The following is an 18154-nucleotide window of genomic DNA, read 5'->3' on the forward strand; positions in this document are numbered from 1 at the left end:
AAGTAGTCTTTGTTTTATACTTCCAGTAACCGTATTAGGTGGTCATTTAAGGCCCCATTTACAGGTGAGGAAATAGGGCTCAAAAATGTTGCCTGACCTGCTGAAGTTTAAACAATAGTAGAATTGAAAAATTAATTGAGGCTTATCTTAGGGCCTCTATGCAGACTCTTTTCTGTACATTGCAAGTAGAAATGATTTTATATTTTGCATTGGTGAAAACTTTTCTAGGGAGATAACTGGGTTGGAAACAGAGATTTGGGAGCAATCAGTATTTGCCAGTTAAAACCATGCAAGGATAGTGAGATTGTCGGGTAAGGAGAGCAAGCCCAGGACAGAATCCTGAGAAGTGGCAACATTTACTAGAGGAGCAGAGTTTAAAGACTCATAAATAAATCAGAGAAGTTGCCACATAATCAGAAGGTGAGAGTGAAGTCAAGAGCTGAAAGACAGATAACATTTCCTGGAGGAGGAAGTGGTCAACATTGGCATGTGCTGAAAACAGGTCAAGTAAGAGGGCTTTTGGATTTTGGATTTGGTAACAGGGAGATCACTGGTGATTTTGGCAAGAGTCTTGATAAATAGGAGGAAGCAGAAACCCATGCAGGAGGAAGAAATGTGAGAAAGATAGGTGGACTTAGTATGGTGGGTCCTCAAAAAGTATAAAATTACAGTATGATTCAATTCCACTTCTGGGTGTATATACAAAAAAAATGAAAGCAAAGATTCAAACAGATATTTGCACACCCATGTTTATAGCAGCATTATTCTCAATAGCCAAAGATAGCAACAACTCAAGTGTCCATCATCTGATAAATAGGAAACAAATGTGGTATATACATACAATAGAATATTATTCAGCTTTAAGAAGGAAGGAAATTCTGACACATGCTGCAACTTTGATGAACCTAAGTGAAATAAGCCAGACACAAATGGACAAATGTCATATGGTTCCATTCATATGAAGTACCTAGAGTAATCACATTCATAGAGATAGAAAGTAGAATGGTGGTTGCCAGGTTGAGGGCAGGAAGGAACGTTCAGTTATTGTTTAATAGGTACAGAGTTTCAGTCTAGAAGAATGAGAAAGTTCTGGAGATAGATGGTGGTGATGGTTGCCTAACAGTGTGAATGTACTTAATGCCTCTGAACTGTACATTTAAAAATGGTTCAAATGGTAAATTTTGTTAAATATATTCTACCATACACACATACAAAAAAGATATAAGGGCTCAAGTCAATGTGGGCAACTTTCTCAAAAAGTTCTGATGAAGAAAAAGAAAGTAATATGACAAGTCAGTCAGAGGAGGAATTTTTAATAGGGAAGAAACTTGAGCATATTTATCAGCCTGGAAGGGATCATTAGAGAAGAAGAGAAGTAGAGATATACATCCACTATTCAGGCAAAAGGTACACAAATATTGAGGAAATACATTAAAATTACAGCAGACATTGAGGACTATGCTTCCAGAGTGTGACTGGGTCTTTGGGGACTGATAAGCCTAGTGTTTTATATAATGATACCCAAATACAATAATATTTAAAATTTGTCTAAACACATAGAATCTAAGCAATTTTAATCACATTGACAACTTCTCTGTAGGGATTTCCTTATAAGTAGTTCACAAAGGAATTCAAATAAAATTTGATATCAATGACATACTGGGGTTTTGTTCGTTTATTTGTTTTTGTTTTTTGTGCGTTTTATGGAGGGGACAGCTTTCTGCATTTGGTTTATTTAACTTCCTGCAAACTCACATTAAGTATGAGTTTAGGTGAAATGGAAAATATTTCAGCTTCTAATCATCTCCTAATTACTCTGTTTGTTTGTTTTTGAGACGGAGTCTCACCCTATGGCCGAGGCTGGAGTGCAGTGGCAGGATCCCGGCTCACTGCAAACTCTGCCTCTCAGGTTCAAGGGATTCTCCTGCCTCAGCCTCCTGAGTAGCTGGGATTACAGGGGCCTGCCAAAGTGCCTGGCTAATTTTTGTATTTTTTTTAGTAGAGATGGGGTTTCACCATGTTGGCCAGGCTGATCTCGAACTCCTGACCTCAAGTGATCCACCCACCTCGGCCTCCCAAAGTGCTGGGATTACAGGCGTGAGCCACTGTGCCCAGTCTAAGTACTCTTTAATGCCTCTTTGGACATAAGGTTAAATAAAAAGCAAAGAGTGTGGTGCAGTGACAGCATGATAGCTTCTAAAGTCCAGAAAGTGGTTCTTGCAACATGTGGAGGTTTGCATAATTACTGTATTGCTCTTGCAATCCATCTCCTTCTTCCCCAATGAGCAAGGGAGTTTGGGAGCAACTGCCACACATAAAAAATGAAGCTACACATTGGCTTCTATTATCTGGCAACCTAAACCCATGATAAATATATTTGTATATATCCTTTTATTTGAATTTGGCAGTAGTACTTGCTTTGATCAACTTTTTTATGTCTTTTTTCAACCATTGTCCCTACTGTCCTTTAAATATTCTCATTTACTACTCCAACCTGTAAGAAACTTAGCCAGCTAAATGTTCAGTTTTGCAGGATCTGCACCTCTGCACCTGTTTTTTACTCTTGTGGCTGAAGTAGTGAAAGACCATAGTTCATGTGTAAGTAACAGTTTCAGTTTTGCAGTGCTTTATCTATATGTAACAGGCAACTATTCATGAGAAAGGAAGTTTGAGACTTGTAGGTAAAAAACCGCTACCCAAATTCCAGGAAAATGTCTGTTTACTGGAGGTTTTTTTTTTTTCTTCCTTTAATAAGATGCCTGTAGTCAGATTAGCATTTGTGTCATACTTCAAAGACTTTAAATTAATTAGACTTGTAAAAGCAAGTTAATTCCCATATATCAGCTGGACAGTTTTCTTCTGCATAGAGCAATGTTTTCTGTGATCATTGAGCCACACAGGAGATGCTTCCTTATGTAAACGAGCACTACTTAATCAAGTATAGGTTTCTTTTCTTTTCTTTTCTTTTTTGAAATGGAGTCTCACTGTGTCTCCCAGCCTGGAAAGCAATGGCCGCGATCTCAGCTCACTGCAACCTCCGCCTCCTGAGTTCAAGCGATTCTCCTGCCTCAGTCTCCTGAGTAAGTGGGATTCAGACGCCTGCCACCATGCCAGGCTAACTTTTGTATTTTTAGTAGAGACGGAGTTTCACTATGTTGGCCAGGCTGGTCTTGAACTCCTGACCTCAGGTAATCTGCCCGCTTCAGCCTCCCAAAGTGCTGGGATTACAGGCGTCAGCCACCGTGCCAGGCCAACTATAGGTTTCAATAGCTTAACTTTTCTAAAATTTGCTTACACATATAAACATGCATATACTTTAATTATATATGTGTACAGGCACCAATTATAGCCTGTTGCTGTGATTTCAAGTGTAAGCTTTATGAATAATTTTCCATGCCCCATAAAATGGATAAAGCATAATGACTGTTATTTCATAACTTCCTCTTTTGGTGGACTATCCTTTTGCAGAGGAAAAAAAATAATGTAACTAGAGAAGAGAGTTGAGCAGAGAACTGAGCTCTTTGAAGTGCTGGTAGTTTGTCTCAACCCATGAAGCAGCTTAACAAGCAACTATAACTAAGCATAGAGGTAAGAACAATTATTTGCTATTTTTCATTTTATTATTTGGATTGCTATTTATATAGCAACAATTTAAATGCTGGCCACATTACAGTGTAGATTAGATAAACCTGATAACTCTTTCAAGTAAGTAACCGACATTTTAAATAAAAAGTTTAATACATTTACAAAGCTTCAGCTTCACATACAAGCTTTTAAAAACCTGGAAAAATTTAAAGTTTTCATTGATCTCCAAATTATTTTACCTGCAAAATAAAACGTTATCTTTCTTGTGTATTTGTAATTTTGCACACAATTTAGTGCTGAAGAGGCATTTGGATTATTAACAAATTTGATAACTTTTCTTCTTTCCCAGCTCTAGATTATTTCTAATATTCTCTCACAGATATACTTTTGTTCATTTTGCATATTATTAGTTGAGCACTTTCCAGAAAAAAAAGCATTCTTACATTTGTTTTTACCCACCGTGAAAATATATTGTATCATTTAAAATATGACATTTCAGTATTATTTTTATATCATCACTTTATGATGATATTTGTTTAGAAAAATTAATTTGTAGTGTAGACAGCATGACTTAAAATTTTAAATGAAATATGCAAATCTAATTTTTAAAATGTATTGTTTTCTAAATAAGTTTAATTTGTATTTATAATGCTTAAAATATAGTAAGAATGAAAACAAAGTAAGACATTTGGTTTGATAATTGGAAATCAAACTAAACTGAAACTGATCTTATTAGTGAAATTCTAAAATAATCTAGATCCTAGAAACTTTTATTCAAATTTGCACTAATCCAGAATAATACCTACACATATTAACTGTATTTAATACAATTGTATTCATAATATAGCAATTTTTAAATCTTCCTTTTAAAAGCTGTTGGTTTCTTTATACTTTGGTAAAAACATTAAGGAGTGTTTAATACAGCTTTGAGAAGAAAAATCTGTTTAAGTGAACTACTCTGGCTATATATACATATGGAGGTTTGAAGAGTTTGCCTCTGAGCATTTTCATAATTGAATCCTTTTGAGAAAGTTTCATACATCACACATTTACCGTGTGAGATTTGGTAAGTATAAATATCCCAAGATGTATTTGAAGCTTTCTTAATTTGGTTTGAAAAAATTAGACTAATCTCATGGCTTCCAAAAAAGAAAGTCCACACTATCCCATCAATTAATAGATTTAATTTTTGATAAATTTTGGTAAATGGTGCTGTTATTACTGGTTCTAGTATGTTACCTAGTACCTAGTTGGTTTTTTGTTGGTTTGTTTTACGTATTTTCATGCACTACACCAATAAGTTGCACCAATAGTTGCTGTCTTCTTATTATAGGGAGAAGGAAAGCAGAGTGTTACTGTTACAAACTCAGATGTGAATTGTTGAATCAAATTTGACATACTTAACTCGATGAAAATTTTAAAATTAAGTTGATGGTTGTTAGAAATCCGTTACAATTGTGCTTCTTCATCTTTATCACACACTAATTAAACACAACTGCTTGTCAGGTCTAGGGGCTCAAGCCTGTAGTCCCAGCTACTTTGGAGGCTGAGGCAAGAGAATGGCTTAAGTCAGAAGATCAAGGCTGCAGTGAGCTGTGATTGCACCACTACACTCCAGCCTAAGTGACAGAGCCAGATTCTGTCTCTAAAAATATAAAAATAAAGAAACCTTAAAAATAAACACAACTACTTCCATCAGAAGTTCAAATGTCCACAATTTTAACTATGAGATATTTTGATATCATGAGCTATTAAGTGTTATATGTAGTATGGTAATATACTAAATAATGGCTAACAATCACAAGGAAACATAGCCCAAGGAGATTACAATATAAATTGGTCATAAGTGTAATTCAGAACAGCAAATGAAGGCTAAAGCAGCAGAGAAGATACTATCTTTCTGGCAAGACAGATTTGTTGTTGTTGTTGTTGTTGTCAATAATTAGTAAAGTCTGAATGAACATCCTAGTTCTAGATTATGGAAAATAAGTTTTTAAGTTGTTCTCTCTTTGATAAAATTGTCTTTACATAAGAAAAAAATGAGTGCTCATCTGAGTTTCCATGATAATATTAATGGTAAATAAATATTAACAAATATTTAATATTAATTATTTAATATTATTGTTTATTCATCATAAATATGATAAATAATTTATTACTGGAAAATTTAATTTTGGCTTCTGAGCTGTAGTATATATTTTACTGTGTTTTAGTAGATTATGTTTATGTGACATGATTGTCTAAGAAGTTTTCATTGAATCTAATAAAAATTGAGACTGGATGACTGCTGTGTATAGTATTGTAAAATTTGGTCTCTGTCTTAATAAGGCATAGTTTGATTGTGTGAAGTGGATGATCTTCTTGGGGGTCTATTAAACTATTGGGTCCAGGGTTGATGCTGCTAATCTCACAGTTAAATGGATGTTCTCCTCCTCCTTCACAAGATGACCTTCCCAAAGTTGCTCATCTATAGAAATAGAAAAGAATGATCTGCTTATAGAGGGCTCTATCCCACTCCAACAAATAAACGTATATTATTTTTCAAATAATAATTACATTTAGGAATAACAGTGCTATTTGTTTTTGACATAAATTACTGAACTTCCAAAAGAACATTGAAAGATTTAGTTTTTGTTTAGCTGTTTTGTTTCCTCTTCTTTTGGCCATTTTCCCATTTGCAAGAATAAAGAGAAGAAAGTTTGTTGCCTGAAAGAAAGATTACAGTTTGGGTGCAAACTCAGAGACATGACCTGTTATTGAAAAACAAAAATCTTTGTATCCCAGATAATGTGGGTCTTTCAGCCATTTAAAAGAAAATTTGTGCCCTCCTGTGTTTGTTGACTTTCTATTTATTTTTAATAAATGTAAATTCCAAATGATTGCTATATTTGCATATTCACATATAATTAAAATATGCTAAATAAATAAGAAATTATTATGATTGCAAAAATATGAGCTATGACAGTACATGAGCTCTGTATGATAAAATATGTATCATTTTCATGATACATGAAAAGAAAATACCTTTTACAGATATAAAGAATAAGGGTAAGCCATTTTATATTTCTGAATACTTCCATTTAAAAAAATAAATGAAATGGAATCTAATTTACATATCTGCATTGTAGAAAATAAAACCACTGTTCATTAATTTTTAATCTTTAAAATATAACTTGTTATTTGAGAATTAGTATAGTTCTGTTATTTGTCTGACATCATTGATGCTTTTTATCATTTTTTATTAACTAAAATTAGGCACTTAGATTTAATGTTTTTAAAATTCCTTCCAGTTTTATTTTTATCTTTATATACATTTTCTAAATATAGGTTTTAACTTTTTATTTAATTTTTTTGCTTTTAATATTATGGGGGAAAATACCAGATTTGCATATTTAAATCCAAATTTAAATAAAAATGTCATTAGAATCATTCATTAATATTGCAACCTTGGAAAGCAGATGAAGAATGAAGTTAGTCTATTGGTGTTGCTCCATGAACCAGTATAAAATTTCATACCTCATTATTATTCTACTTTACAGATATTTCATCATGAGCCTTTAGTTTTTTTTTAATATGTAGTGGTTATCACATTCTCAAAATTTTTCTCACCTTGGGAAAAAATAAATTGCAATATGATTTTGAGAAAAATCACCACAGTTTTGATTTTGAAAAAATAAGTAAAATTTTTAAAAGTGTACCTTAATTCAATCTATTTTCTTTTGCACAAGAAAAAATTTTAAGTAGGTTGCTTTTATTCTCGTTCTATGTGGGTGAATATAGCTGAATTGGAGGAGCAGCAAAAACATTTTCTATGCAATTAGGCGGCCTTCTGAATAAAATACAATCATATATCTGATGGCAGTGAGTTTTCTTAAATGCTCACCAGAAACTCTTGTTACACTTCACCTACTTTAAAACATCTTATTTAGAAATAATTGGAAGCTCATATAAGTTGTAAAAATAAAAAAGTATAATGAACCCCTTATATCTTTACCTAGATTTGCTTAAATATTTTATCCCATTTGCTTTATAATGTGCTCTCATTTTTTTCTTTATATTTTTCTATGGTCATAATTTTTTTCTGAACAACTTAAGAGTAAGTCACACATAACAAGGGCTTTCAGTCTGAATTTTCCAAGAATAGAGATAATCTCTTATTTTTTTTTCAAATAAAATTTTTTAAAAAATTATTATTATACTTCAAGTTTTAGGGTACATGTGCACAATGTGCAGGTTAGGTACATATGTATACATGTGCCATGCTGGTTTGCTGCACCCATTAACTCATCATTTAGCATTAGGTATATCTCCTAATGCTATCCCTCCCCCCTTCCCCCACCCCACAACAGTCCCCAGAGTGTGATGTTCCCCTTCCTGTGTCCATGTGTTCTCATTGTTCAATTCCCATCTATGAGTGAGAACATGCAGTGTTTGGTTTTTTGTTCTTGCGATAGTTTACTGAGAATGATGATTTCCAATTTCATCCATGTCCCTGCAAAGGACATGAACTCATCATTTTTTATGGCTGCATAGTATTCCATGGTGTATATGTGCCACATTTTCTTAATCTAGTCTATCATTGTTGGACATTTGGGTTGGTTCTAAGTTTTTGCTATTGTGAATAGTGCCACAATAAACATACGTGTGCATGTGTCTTTATAGCAGCATGATTTATAGTCCTTTGGGTATATACCCAGTAATGGGATGGCTGGGTCAAATGGTATTTCTAGTTCTAGATCCCTGAGGAATCGCCACACTGACTTCCACAATGGTTGAACTAGTTTACAGTCCCACCAACAGTGTAAAAGTGTTCCTATTTCTCCACATCCTCTCCAGCACCTGTTGTTTCCTGACTTTTTAATGATCTCCATTCTAACTGGTGTGAGATGGTATCTCATTGTGGTTTTGATTTGCATTTCTCTGATGGCCAGTGATGATGAGCATTTTTTCATGTGTTTTTTGGCTGCATAAATGTCTTCTTTTGAGAAGTGTCTGTTCATATCCTTTGCCCACTTTTTAATGGGGTTGTTTGTTTTTTTCTTGTAAATTTGTTTGAGTTCATTGTAGATTCTGGATATTAGCCCTTTGTCAGATGAGTAGGTTGCGAAAATTTTCTCCCATTTTGTAGGTTGCCTGTTCACTCTGATGGTAGTTTCTTTTGCTGTGCAGAAGCTCTTTAGTTTAATTAGATCCCATTTGTCAATTTTGGCTTTTGTTGCCATTCTTTTTGGTGTTTTAGACATGAAGTCCTTGCCCATGCCTATGTCCTGAATGGTAATGCCTAGGTTTTCTTCTAGGGTTTTTATGGTTTTAGGTCTAACGGTTAAGTCTTTAATCCATCTTGAATTAATTTTTGTATAAGGTGTAAGGAAGGGATCCAGTTTCAGCTTTCTACATATGGCTAGCCAGTTTTCCTAGCACCATTTATTAAATAGGGAATCCTTTCCCCATTGCTTGTTTTTCTCAGGTTTGTCAAAGATCAGATAGTTGTAGATATGTGGCGTTATTTCTGAGGGCTCTGTTCTGTTCCATTGATCTATATCTCTGTTTTGGTACCAGTACCATGCTGTTTTGGTTACTGTAGCCTTGTAGTATAGTTTGAAGTCAGGTAGTGTGATGCCTCCAGCTTTGTTCTTTTGGCTTAGGATTTACTTGGCGATGCGGGCTCTTTTTTGGATCCATATGAACTTTGAAGTAGTTTTTTCCAATTCTGTGAAGAAAGTCATTGGTAGCTTGATGGGGATGGCATTGAATCTGTAAATTACCTTGGGCAGTATGGCCATTTTCACGATATTGATTCTTCCTACCCATGAGCATGGAATGTTCTTCCATTTGTTTGTATCCTCTTTTATTTCATTAAGCAGTGGTTTGTAGTTCTCCTTGAAGAGGTCCTTCACGTCCCTTGTAAGTTGGATTCCTAAGTATTTTATTCTCTTTGAAGCAATTGTGAATGGGAGTTCACTCATGATTTGGCTCTCTGTTTGTCTGTTGTTGGTGTATAAGAATGCTTGTGATTTTTGTGCATTGATTTTGTATCCTGAGACTTTGCTGAAGTTGCTTATCAGCTTAAGGAGATTTTGAGCTGAGACAATGGGGTTTTCTAGATATACAATCAAGTCGTCTGCAAACAGGGACAATTTGACTTCCTCTTTTCCTAATTGAATACCCTTTATTTCCTTCTCCTGCCTAATTGCCCTGGCCAGAACTTCCAACACTATGTTGAATAGGAGTGGTGAGAGAGGGCATCCCTGTCTTGTGCCAGTTTTCAAAGGGAATGCTTCCAGTTTTTGCCCATTCAGTATGATATTGGCTGTGGGTTTGTCATAGATAGCTCTTATTATTTTGAGATACGTCCCATCAATACCTAATTTATTGAGAGTTTTTGGCATGAAGGGTTGTTGAATTTTGTCAAAGGCCTTTTCTGCATCTGTTGAGATAATCATGTGGTTTTTGTCTTTGGTTCTGTTTATATGCTGGATGAACATTGATGCAAAAATCCTCAATAAAATACTCGCAAACTGAATCCAGCAGCACATCAAAAAGCTTATCCACCATGATCAAGTGGGCTTCATCCCTGGGATGCAAGGCTGGTTCAATATACGCAAATCAATAAATGTAATCCAGCATATAAACAGAGATAATCTCTTATATTATGGTTACATCCAATTATCTACTTCATAGATTTACATAGCTACACTACTTTTATCTAATATTTGTCCATGTTCCAATTTTGCTGTTTATCAAATAATGTCTTTTTAAATATTTCCCCTCCAGTAAATCACCCAGTCTGGAGTCAATTATCACACTTAGTTGTCTTGTCTTTTTAAAATGTATTATTGTTAAGTGATAAGTAAAAATTGTTTATTTTTCTTGTGTAACGCATGTTTTAAAACATTTATACATGGTGGCTAAATGTATAATGGATCAATTGAACTAATATATGCATTACTCAAATCCTTTTTGTGGGGAAAACATTTAAAATCTAATCTCTTAGCAATATTTAAGAGTAGAATACATTGCTATTAATTATAGTCACTACGTTGTACAATAGATCTCTTGAATGTCATGTCTCTTTAGTCTCCTTTTGTCTGGAACATTTCCGTATCATTTCTTTGTCTTTTATGAAAATGAAGATTTTAATCATTATGGCATATTCACTCTTTTTTTTCATTTTAATAAAGTGCTCCTCATTGTTTATTTTTCTGACATTTCCCCATGATTAGATTACGGTTATACACTTTCTGCTGGAGTTCCTCATAGGTGATGTTGTTTCCTCTCCTGCTATCGTATCTAGAGGCACATGAGGGTCTTATGTCCCACATTGTTAATGTTCATTTTTGTTGCCTAGTCAAGGTGTTGTCTGATTTCTCTATTGCATAATGATGGCTCCTCATCAAAAATTTCCTCTCAGATTTAACATTCATTGATGTTCTTGTCAAATGCAATCTTTACTATAATGGCTGCAGTATGATGGCTTTACAACTTCAGCACTCCCTCCACATTTACATTAGTCTTTCCCATTCTACTGTAAGCAAAAGAACTCCCATCTTCAACATCTATTTAATTATTAATTTATGTATCTGTTTGTTACTGGTATGGATTCATGAATTTCTTTTTTCCATGACTCAACTATTTTGGTGCTTAAATTGTTCACATTTGACCAATGGAGCCCATCCATTCTAGAACAAACTAACCTACCTTCCTTCCTTCCTTCCTTCCTTCCTTCCTTCCTTCCTTCCTTCCCTCCTTCCTTCCTTCCCTCCTTCCTTCCTTCCCTCCTTCCTTCCTTCCTTCTTTTCTCCCTCCTTCCCTTCCTCCTTCCCTTTATTCCTCCCTTCCTCCCCTCCCTCCCTCCCTTTGTTCCTCCCTCTCTCTTTCTGGCTTCCCATTCAGGGTGATCACAACACTCCTTTTACATACAATTAGGTTCATTGTTTCCAATTTTAGGGTTTTTCCCTTTACATTTTTATTGATTTAATTTTATTTTTTGAGTCAATTAATTTACTTTAAATCTTTTTTTAACCTGTAGAGATTAAGTGCTGCTTGCCTTAGACATTTCTACTAAACAAACCTGATACACCCTAACTCAAATGTTATTGATACAGTTCAAAAATACCTGCTTGAGTTTGGGGTTGAGCTTTTATCTTTGTATTTCACATCTCTTCAATCTACATTTAGTCTGAAGTCAAATTATCCTCCTTTGCATTCCAAAAAGTGACAGTTTCAGAAAAGAAAGTAGATAGCTGTAGTCACACTGGTAGTTCACTTACCTTATGGGTTTATTATTCCAGAGTTTTTAAAAGTTAAATGGGCATGTTACGGAAAAAATAATTATGTAAAGCAAATAAAGACAAGAGTAATCATAAATATACATAGTCTATAAGAGCTAAAAAAATTTTCACTCTTTTATATGTGATTCTAGAGTATTCCTGCCCCCAGTACTTCCCTATATTCTACTCCAGTATTCATAACTGAAAATAAACCCTAAAATTCATAATAGGAAGAGAAATTTGTGGTTGGTGTCGAAAGATTCATTTTCATGTTCCGTTTTATCACTTACTGACTGTGGATCTTGTATAAGTTACATCTCCTGTCTTTCCAGACATCCACCCTTATAACCCTAAATAAAAAACAAATTCATACCTCCTCAACTTTCTACCAATTTCTGGGCTCATACTCCACACAGATTATTAAAGCTATACACTCAGATGTTAAGAGGCATCTCAAATTCAACATGTCCCACATAAAACCCCTCATTTCCTACCCCTCTGTCTGCTCCATCACCAGTCTTCTTTGTTTACTAAATAGTACCACCTTACCCCCATTATCCAGGCCAACAGTATCCTTAATTTCATTCTCTCTTTTCCTCACCTACACTCCATCTATCAGCATGCCTGTCTCTTCTGTTCCCAAAATATATTCCAATGCTGACCAGAATCACCTGTTTCACATCTTGAGCAAAGTGTAAGACACTGTCATCTCTGGTCTGGACGTCTCTGTTTTTGTGTTAGCCTATTAAGAAACCCTCTTTTTCTATTCTTGCATCCCTACCAATATGATCATTTAAAATATCCATCAAATCATGTGACCTCCTGCTCAAAATTCTTCAATTGCTTCTTATTTTAATTAGGATAAAATCCAGATTCCTCACTAAAGCTTATATGTCTTTGTGTCTTCTCTCATATCCTTTCATCTCTTCATTCATGATATTCTGGCTCTACTCCTCATGTTCCCCCCAGAGTATTCTGAGCTCATTCCTGACTCAGGGATTTTCCACATGCCCTTCTCTTTTCCTGGCATGCCCACACATCTTAGTGTGACACAACTTCTTCTTTATTTGGGTCTCTTCTCAAACATATCTCCTAATAGATGCTTCCCGTGGTCCACTACATATTTAATTGTAGTATTCCCAACCCCATCACTCTGTCATTTTACCCCATTTTAATTTTACTGATAGCACATAAAATGTTACACAACATGTTGATTTTTATTTCTTTATCCAATTATTTGTTATCTGTTCCTTTCACTAGACTGTAAGTTCCATGAGGGCAGAAACTTGGCCTTTGTTGTTCATGTTACCTTTACATTTTCTAGTAAAATAAATGGAGCATAGTAGGTGCTCAGTAAATAAACAATGATTAAGTAAAAGGTCTCAACATTTCTGATAAGCATAATAGAAATAACTATCTTCCAACACTGTCTTCAAGGGGCCAGTACTCTAAACTGCCATGCAAATGTCAGGTGTAGTTTATTTTGTCCGTGTTGAGTCAAACGAACTGAGACCAAAAAGTGGTCCTTGGAGACAACAAATAGACAGAGAAGTTCTCTTTTTTTCTGTGCTGGCAATTTTCCACTGAGCTAAAAAGAGATAAGTTCATAGTGACTGCCACTAACTTTTTAGAATCCTGGGGTGCAACACCTCTGCATTTCTTGCCCCATTGCCTCTGCCCTTGTCCTGCCTTGCCCTCACCCCCAAGAAAAGCATGCACCCACTCTTCCTTGACAGTTAGGGTTCATTGTTTTCCTCAACTACATGGAAGAGTAATCTCCCTCCAGAATCCTTTCCTGATTAGCCATCTGCCTATGCTGGCCTCACATCTATGCTTATTTTCAATATTTTTTTGTAATTACTTCCTTGTTCTATTTTTGATCTTGAAATGGATTATAAAACTACTCTAGGAAAATTCTTTTTCTTGTACATCCAAAATATCAAGGTTAGTTATATGTATTAACATATAACTAAGTTTTTGAGATTATAAGGCCCTAAATAATAATAAAACCAATGATAATGATGATAATTGCAAAGTTAGTAACAATAATAGCTCTGCTATTTCGTGTTAAACTTTTTTTGTATCATCATGTCAGGTGCTTCACATGATTAACGAATTTAATGCCCTCATCAGTCCTATGAAATAAGTACTATTATTTCCACTTTACAGATTTAAGGAAAAATATAGAAGTTCAGAGAGGTAGGTAGCTTAATAAAGGTCACACAATTGATCCTGGTGTGTCTATCTCTAAACTGGATCTGCATCATATTTATATATGGCCTATACCACTTAATTTCTGAGAAGCAAAGTAGGTAAATCTGTGGTTTAGATACAGTTAAGAATTTATAGATTATTATGATGCAGTCCTAAGCCAGAAATCTTACAATTTGGTGGAGTAAATATTAAAAGAAATAGATTTTAAGACACAGCATAAAAAATAGAAGGTGCCACATGAAAGATCAAAATAATTTAGAACTGTACTTCCAGGTGTATTGATGGTTACAAGGCTCCCTGGAGGTAGCTGGTTTAAAGCTGAACTATTGAAATTGTTTCATTAGGTGGAGAAAAGTTGTGATAATAAATTTTCAGAAGAGTCCAGAAAATTTTCAAAGAAATAAAAATATTCTAATATTACATTAATTTAATATTGAGCCTTAACTTAAAATATTGAGCCTTTTTAATATTGAGCATTATCTCCTATAGTGCTACCACAGGAGATATTTGGTGGCTCTGACTTTATGGTTCTTCTCAGGAAGTGGGTTATGTGATGAGAGGATTTTTAACTCTTGCAAGAAGCTCTGTTTTCATTTTAAAGTGAGTTTATTCATGAAGTCATATATCAAGCAGTATACTTTGGGCACTATTTTAGGTGCTGGGGAAATAGTTACGGACAAGATCAAGTTTCTACCCTCAAGCAGCCTTCAGTCTAGTGGGGAAAGAATGGAGTAAACTAGTAAAGAAATAAAATTTTAAAGGACTTCTAGATAGTGATAGTGACCAGAAGAAAATCCAGCATAGTAAAAGGATAAAGAGAAGATGGGAAAATCATCTTTACGTAGGTGGTCTCCTGAGATGGCCTATTTGAAAAGGTAATATTTAAGCTAAGACCTGAACAGTGAGAGGATTGAGAGCACCATGCAGACGACTCCAGGAAGAGTAGTTCAGGAAGAGTGATTGACCAGCGCAAGGGCCAGAATGAGCTTGGCATATCTGAGAAGTAGAAAAGAGCCTGGGTCTCAAAGGATGGTGGGAGATGAAGCTCAGGAGCTGGAGTTGAGAAAGGGCCAAGTCACATAGACTGCAGACCAAGGAATGGAGTTGCACATATGAGCAAACATTTGCAAGGACGTGCACGTGTCTTAATTGGGGATGGGAATGCAATGAATGACCATTATCTCTGGCTAACACAGTCTTGGAAAAACTGTTGTATGAAGAGAAACAGGAATTACTACATAGGTAAAAGTTTCATAGGAGATAAATTATTACATTTAGGTGAATTTTAGATAAGCCAAGTTTACCTGGATAAAAGTGAAAGGGGCTCAGGTATTATTTAAATTTGTAAACTCAATGTTTTCAGCAAAAATTGTCATGGAATAATTGACTCTAATCTTGGCCATTTGAAGATATGTACACTGATTTCTGATAATGGTGTCATCATGCAACCTAGTTTCTGCATGGATGAAGCAGAAAAGACTACAGAAACAACTATATTTTAGCCTCCAGAGACCACAGATGTTTCCTTGTTTATTGTTCCCAAATCCCAGTAGCTATTGGGATTAGGGATAGCAATCCCTGGCAACATCAACCCGCTCCCCTTAAAAGTAGACGTAAATTACTCTGCCATTTTCCATGGTAATTATATTCCCTATGATTTATTTTTATTATCCTAAGAGATCTAAATGAATCATATCACTACATTTTAAATCTCTGTTAGTTGGACACTGCTTCCTTTAAGGGGTAGGAGGTTGAGGGCTGTGATTTGGAGAAAGAATACAGAATAGCTTACTGAAAAGACTCTTTTTAAATTGAGTAAACAAGCTCAATATTTATTTGTTAGGAATGATGGAAAAAATGGCCTTCCCTCATACTTAAGAAGTTAATAACAACAAGTATAGATTCTTCTATTTCTGGTTCAGGTTAAAAGCCGCCCATAAAAAACATTACCTGGCCTTGGACTGAGTGTGTACTAGAAGGATGACAATCATGTTGTCCCCAAGGCAGTTGGATGTGTTGTTGTAGGAGCCAGAAGCTTACTTTTGAGTGCTCCTGGCAACCTCCAAATAGAAAACCATTGTGCTACTGGTATTACAGGGTGTGGAGGATTATAGATGACTTATGTGCTATTTAAGCAATGCATTCTATCTTATCATGTATATATGTGGGTATGATGACCACCATACTATCGGATTATTGCAGAGTGTGAGGTAGTGTGCGGTTTTTAAGTGCGTGTGTGTGAGAGAATAAATGCTTGAATATCTGCAATAAGTATTAGAGAGCACTCCTGAAATATAAGCCACTTCCTGACCTGGGCATATTAACCAAGAAGCAAACCTATTAAAAGTATGAGAGCATTCGATTTTCTACAATAATAGTACACATTTGTTGACATGAACTAGATTCAGGAAGGGAATACAGAAAGAGCAGGCAGACATTGGGCCTATTTAATTAACTTGGGGCTTATGATCACCCTTCAGAAGAGGATGCTAAGGATGCCTTCTCCAGAGCCAAGAGGCCTCTCCTTGTGCCTTTATTTGGCTTTCCTCCTCTCATTGGTGACCCATCATGTTAGGAAAAAAAAAAAATCTCTCAAAAGTGTAAATGTTATTCTTTCTGTGGGTGATGTCATAATTTTAGTGGCCCAAGCATTTGTTACTAAAATAGTACTTAGCAACACATAATCATTATTTTCTCCTCTTAAAATTCTGAGTGTGTTTGTTCTGATGAAGTCAGGAGACACATTTTTCAGGGAGGTAGGAGTAAGAGCTTAAAAACACGAAGTAATGCCTGGAATAATCTCTTGACTTGTGTTCCTTAAATAAGCAAGAAGACAACTAAATTTTCCTTCCTGTGGCGACAGCTCTGGCGGAGTAAAAAAAAATTTTTGAAATATAGTGCTAAAGGAAGTGGTTTTCATGCAACTGTGCATCTTATACTCTTCGTTAATGTGGTAGATACCATTTGCTTGGCTTCATTTGACTTGTCTTTCTCATGTTTTTGCTTGTAAAGTGGGTGAGAAAAGTTCGACCAAAGAAACCTGTGCACTGACCAATCAATAGTTATGTTTCTAAAGTTCCTGTTAATCATTTCAGGAAACATCTTGGGCTCCTTTTTAATTACATCCTACCTAATATAAAAACTGTAAAGGTATCTCTGTATACCTATACCATCTTGTAGAAAATAGCTATATATTTCTTAAAATTTGTAATTTGATTTGAATCCTCATATTTTGAAGAGACTTGAAGCTTAACAAGAGCTTATTTTTTAAAAAACATATTCTGTATTTTAAAATTTCTAATTACTATTTTAAATAATGAAAATAGCTGTAATTTATCAAAGGCCTGATCAATGTTAGGATAATTCTCATGAAGTCATTTATTATCATAATTCCACAAGGTAGACATTTTAAGTTTGCAGGAACCTGAGACTAGGAAAAAATTGTCCAAAATCTTATGCCTAATAACAGATTCTAAAGCCTGTCTTTATGTCTAATAGCCAAGGCCATGGGAAATTACACTTAATCTTTTCCTGCCCTGATTCTTCTAAAAAGTGTGTGGGTCATGTGCAGGCCATTGCACCAAGTTGGTTGTCAGGGGGAGGTGGGTATGCCCTGTTGCCAAGAGCAGCCAACAACAAAGGCAGCAGGGCAAGGTTGCAGCAAAGACCAAGGTTGCAACATCAATAACTACTGCCAGTGGAAACTAGCCCATGTGTCATACTTGGTATGTATATATCTGTTGCCAATAACCCCAAAGTAGACAGTGTTTTCCTTTTAGTCACTGAGTAATCTAGTCATAAACAAAACAGATTTACTTCATCGGCTGCTTCTTTCATCATGGGAAGGAAAATGCCCAAAGTTATGCCACATATCGTCTAAGCATACCTTCTTTCTAACAATTAATTTTGGCTGCCTTCTATGAATCTGATATTGGTGCCAAACATTCCCTTTCCCACAAGTTCAAGAGTAATCAAGAAAAGTTGACACCTTCTAGTGTCCACGTGGGCTTCTTGGTATTTAGGGACCTTGGCAAATTATTTACAGCTTCTTTCAGACGAGCCTTCCAGAGCTTTGTAAGAATAAA

At 35.2% G+C, this 18154-nt stretch overlaps 1 protein-coding gene across 20 annotated transcripts in view, besides 2 other annotated features; it reads left to right on the top strand.

Annotated features, from left to right (window-relative positions):
* Positions 2654 to 2713: an enhancer, noted in NCBI's record as "active region_20704". NCBI's record gives its function as "activates an Ori minimal core promoter by ATAC-STARR-seq in GM12878 lymphoblastoid cells {active_cell/tissue: GM12878}" and the evidence as "EXISTENCE:reporter gene assay evidence [ECO:0000049][PMID:35858748]".
* The window catches only part of MBNL1 (muscleblind like splicing regulator 1), a 222149-nt gene continuing 206774 nt past the window's right edge, over positions 2780 to 18154 (top strand). For all 20 annotated transcript variants that reach the window (NR_170697.1, NM_001376819.1, NM_001387781.1 and 17 more), the window contains exons 1-2: positions 2780 to 3080; positions 3469 to 3588. The gene's annotated coding sequence lies outside the window, so the exon portion shown is untranslated. The remainder of the gene's footprint in view (positions 3081 to 3468; positions 3589 to 18154) is intronic.
* Positions 2844 to 2973: an enhancer, noted in NCBI's record as "active region_20705". NCBI's record gives its function as "activates an Ori minimal core promoter by ATAC-STARR-seq in GM12878 lymphoblastoid cells {active_cell/tissue: GM12878}" and the evidence as "EXISTENCE:reporter gene assay evidence [ECO:0000049][PMID:35858748]".

The sequence above is a fragment of the Homo sapiens genome, chromosome 3 (assembly GCF_000001405.40).
Source record: "Homo sapiens chromosome 3, GRCh38.p14 Primary Assembly".
NCBI classification, from domain to species: domain Eukaryota; kingdom Metazoa; phylum Chordata; class Mammalia; order Primates; family Hominidae; genus Homo; species Homo sapiens.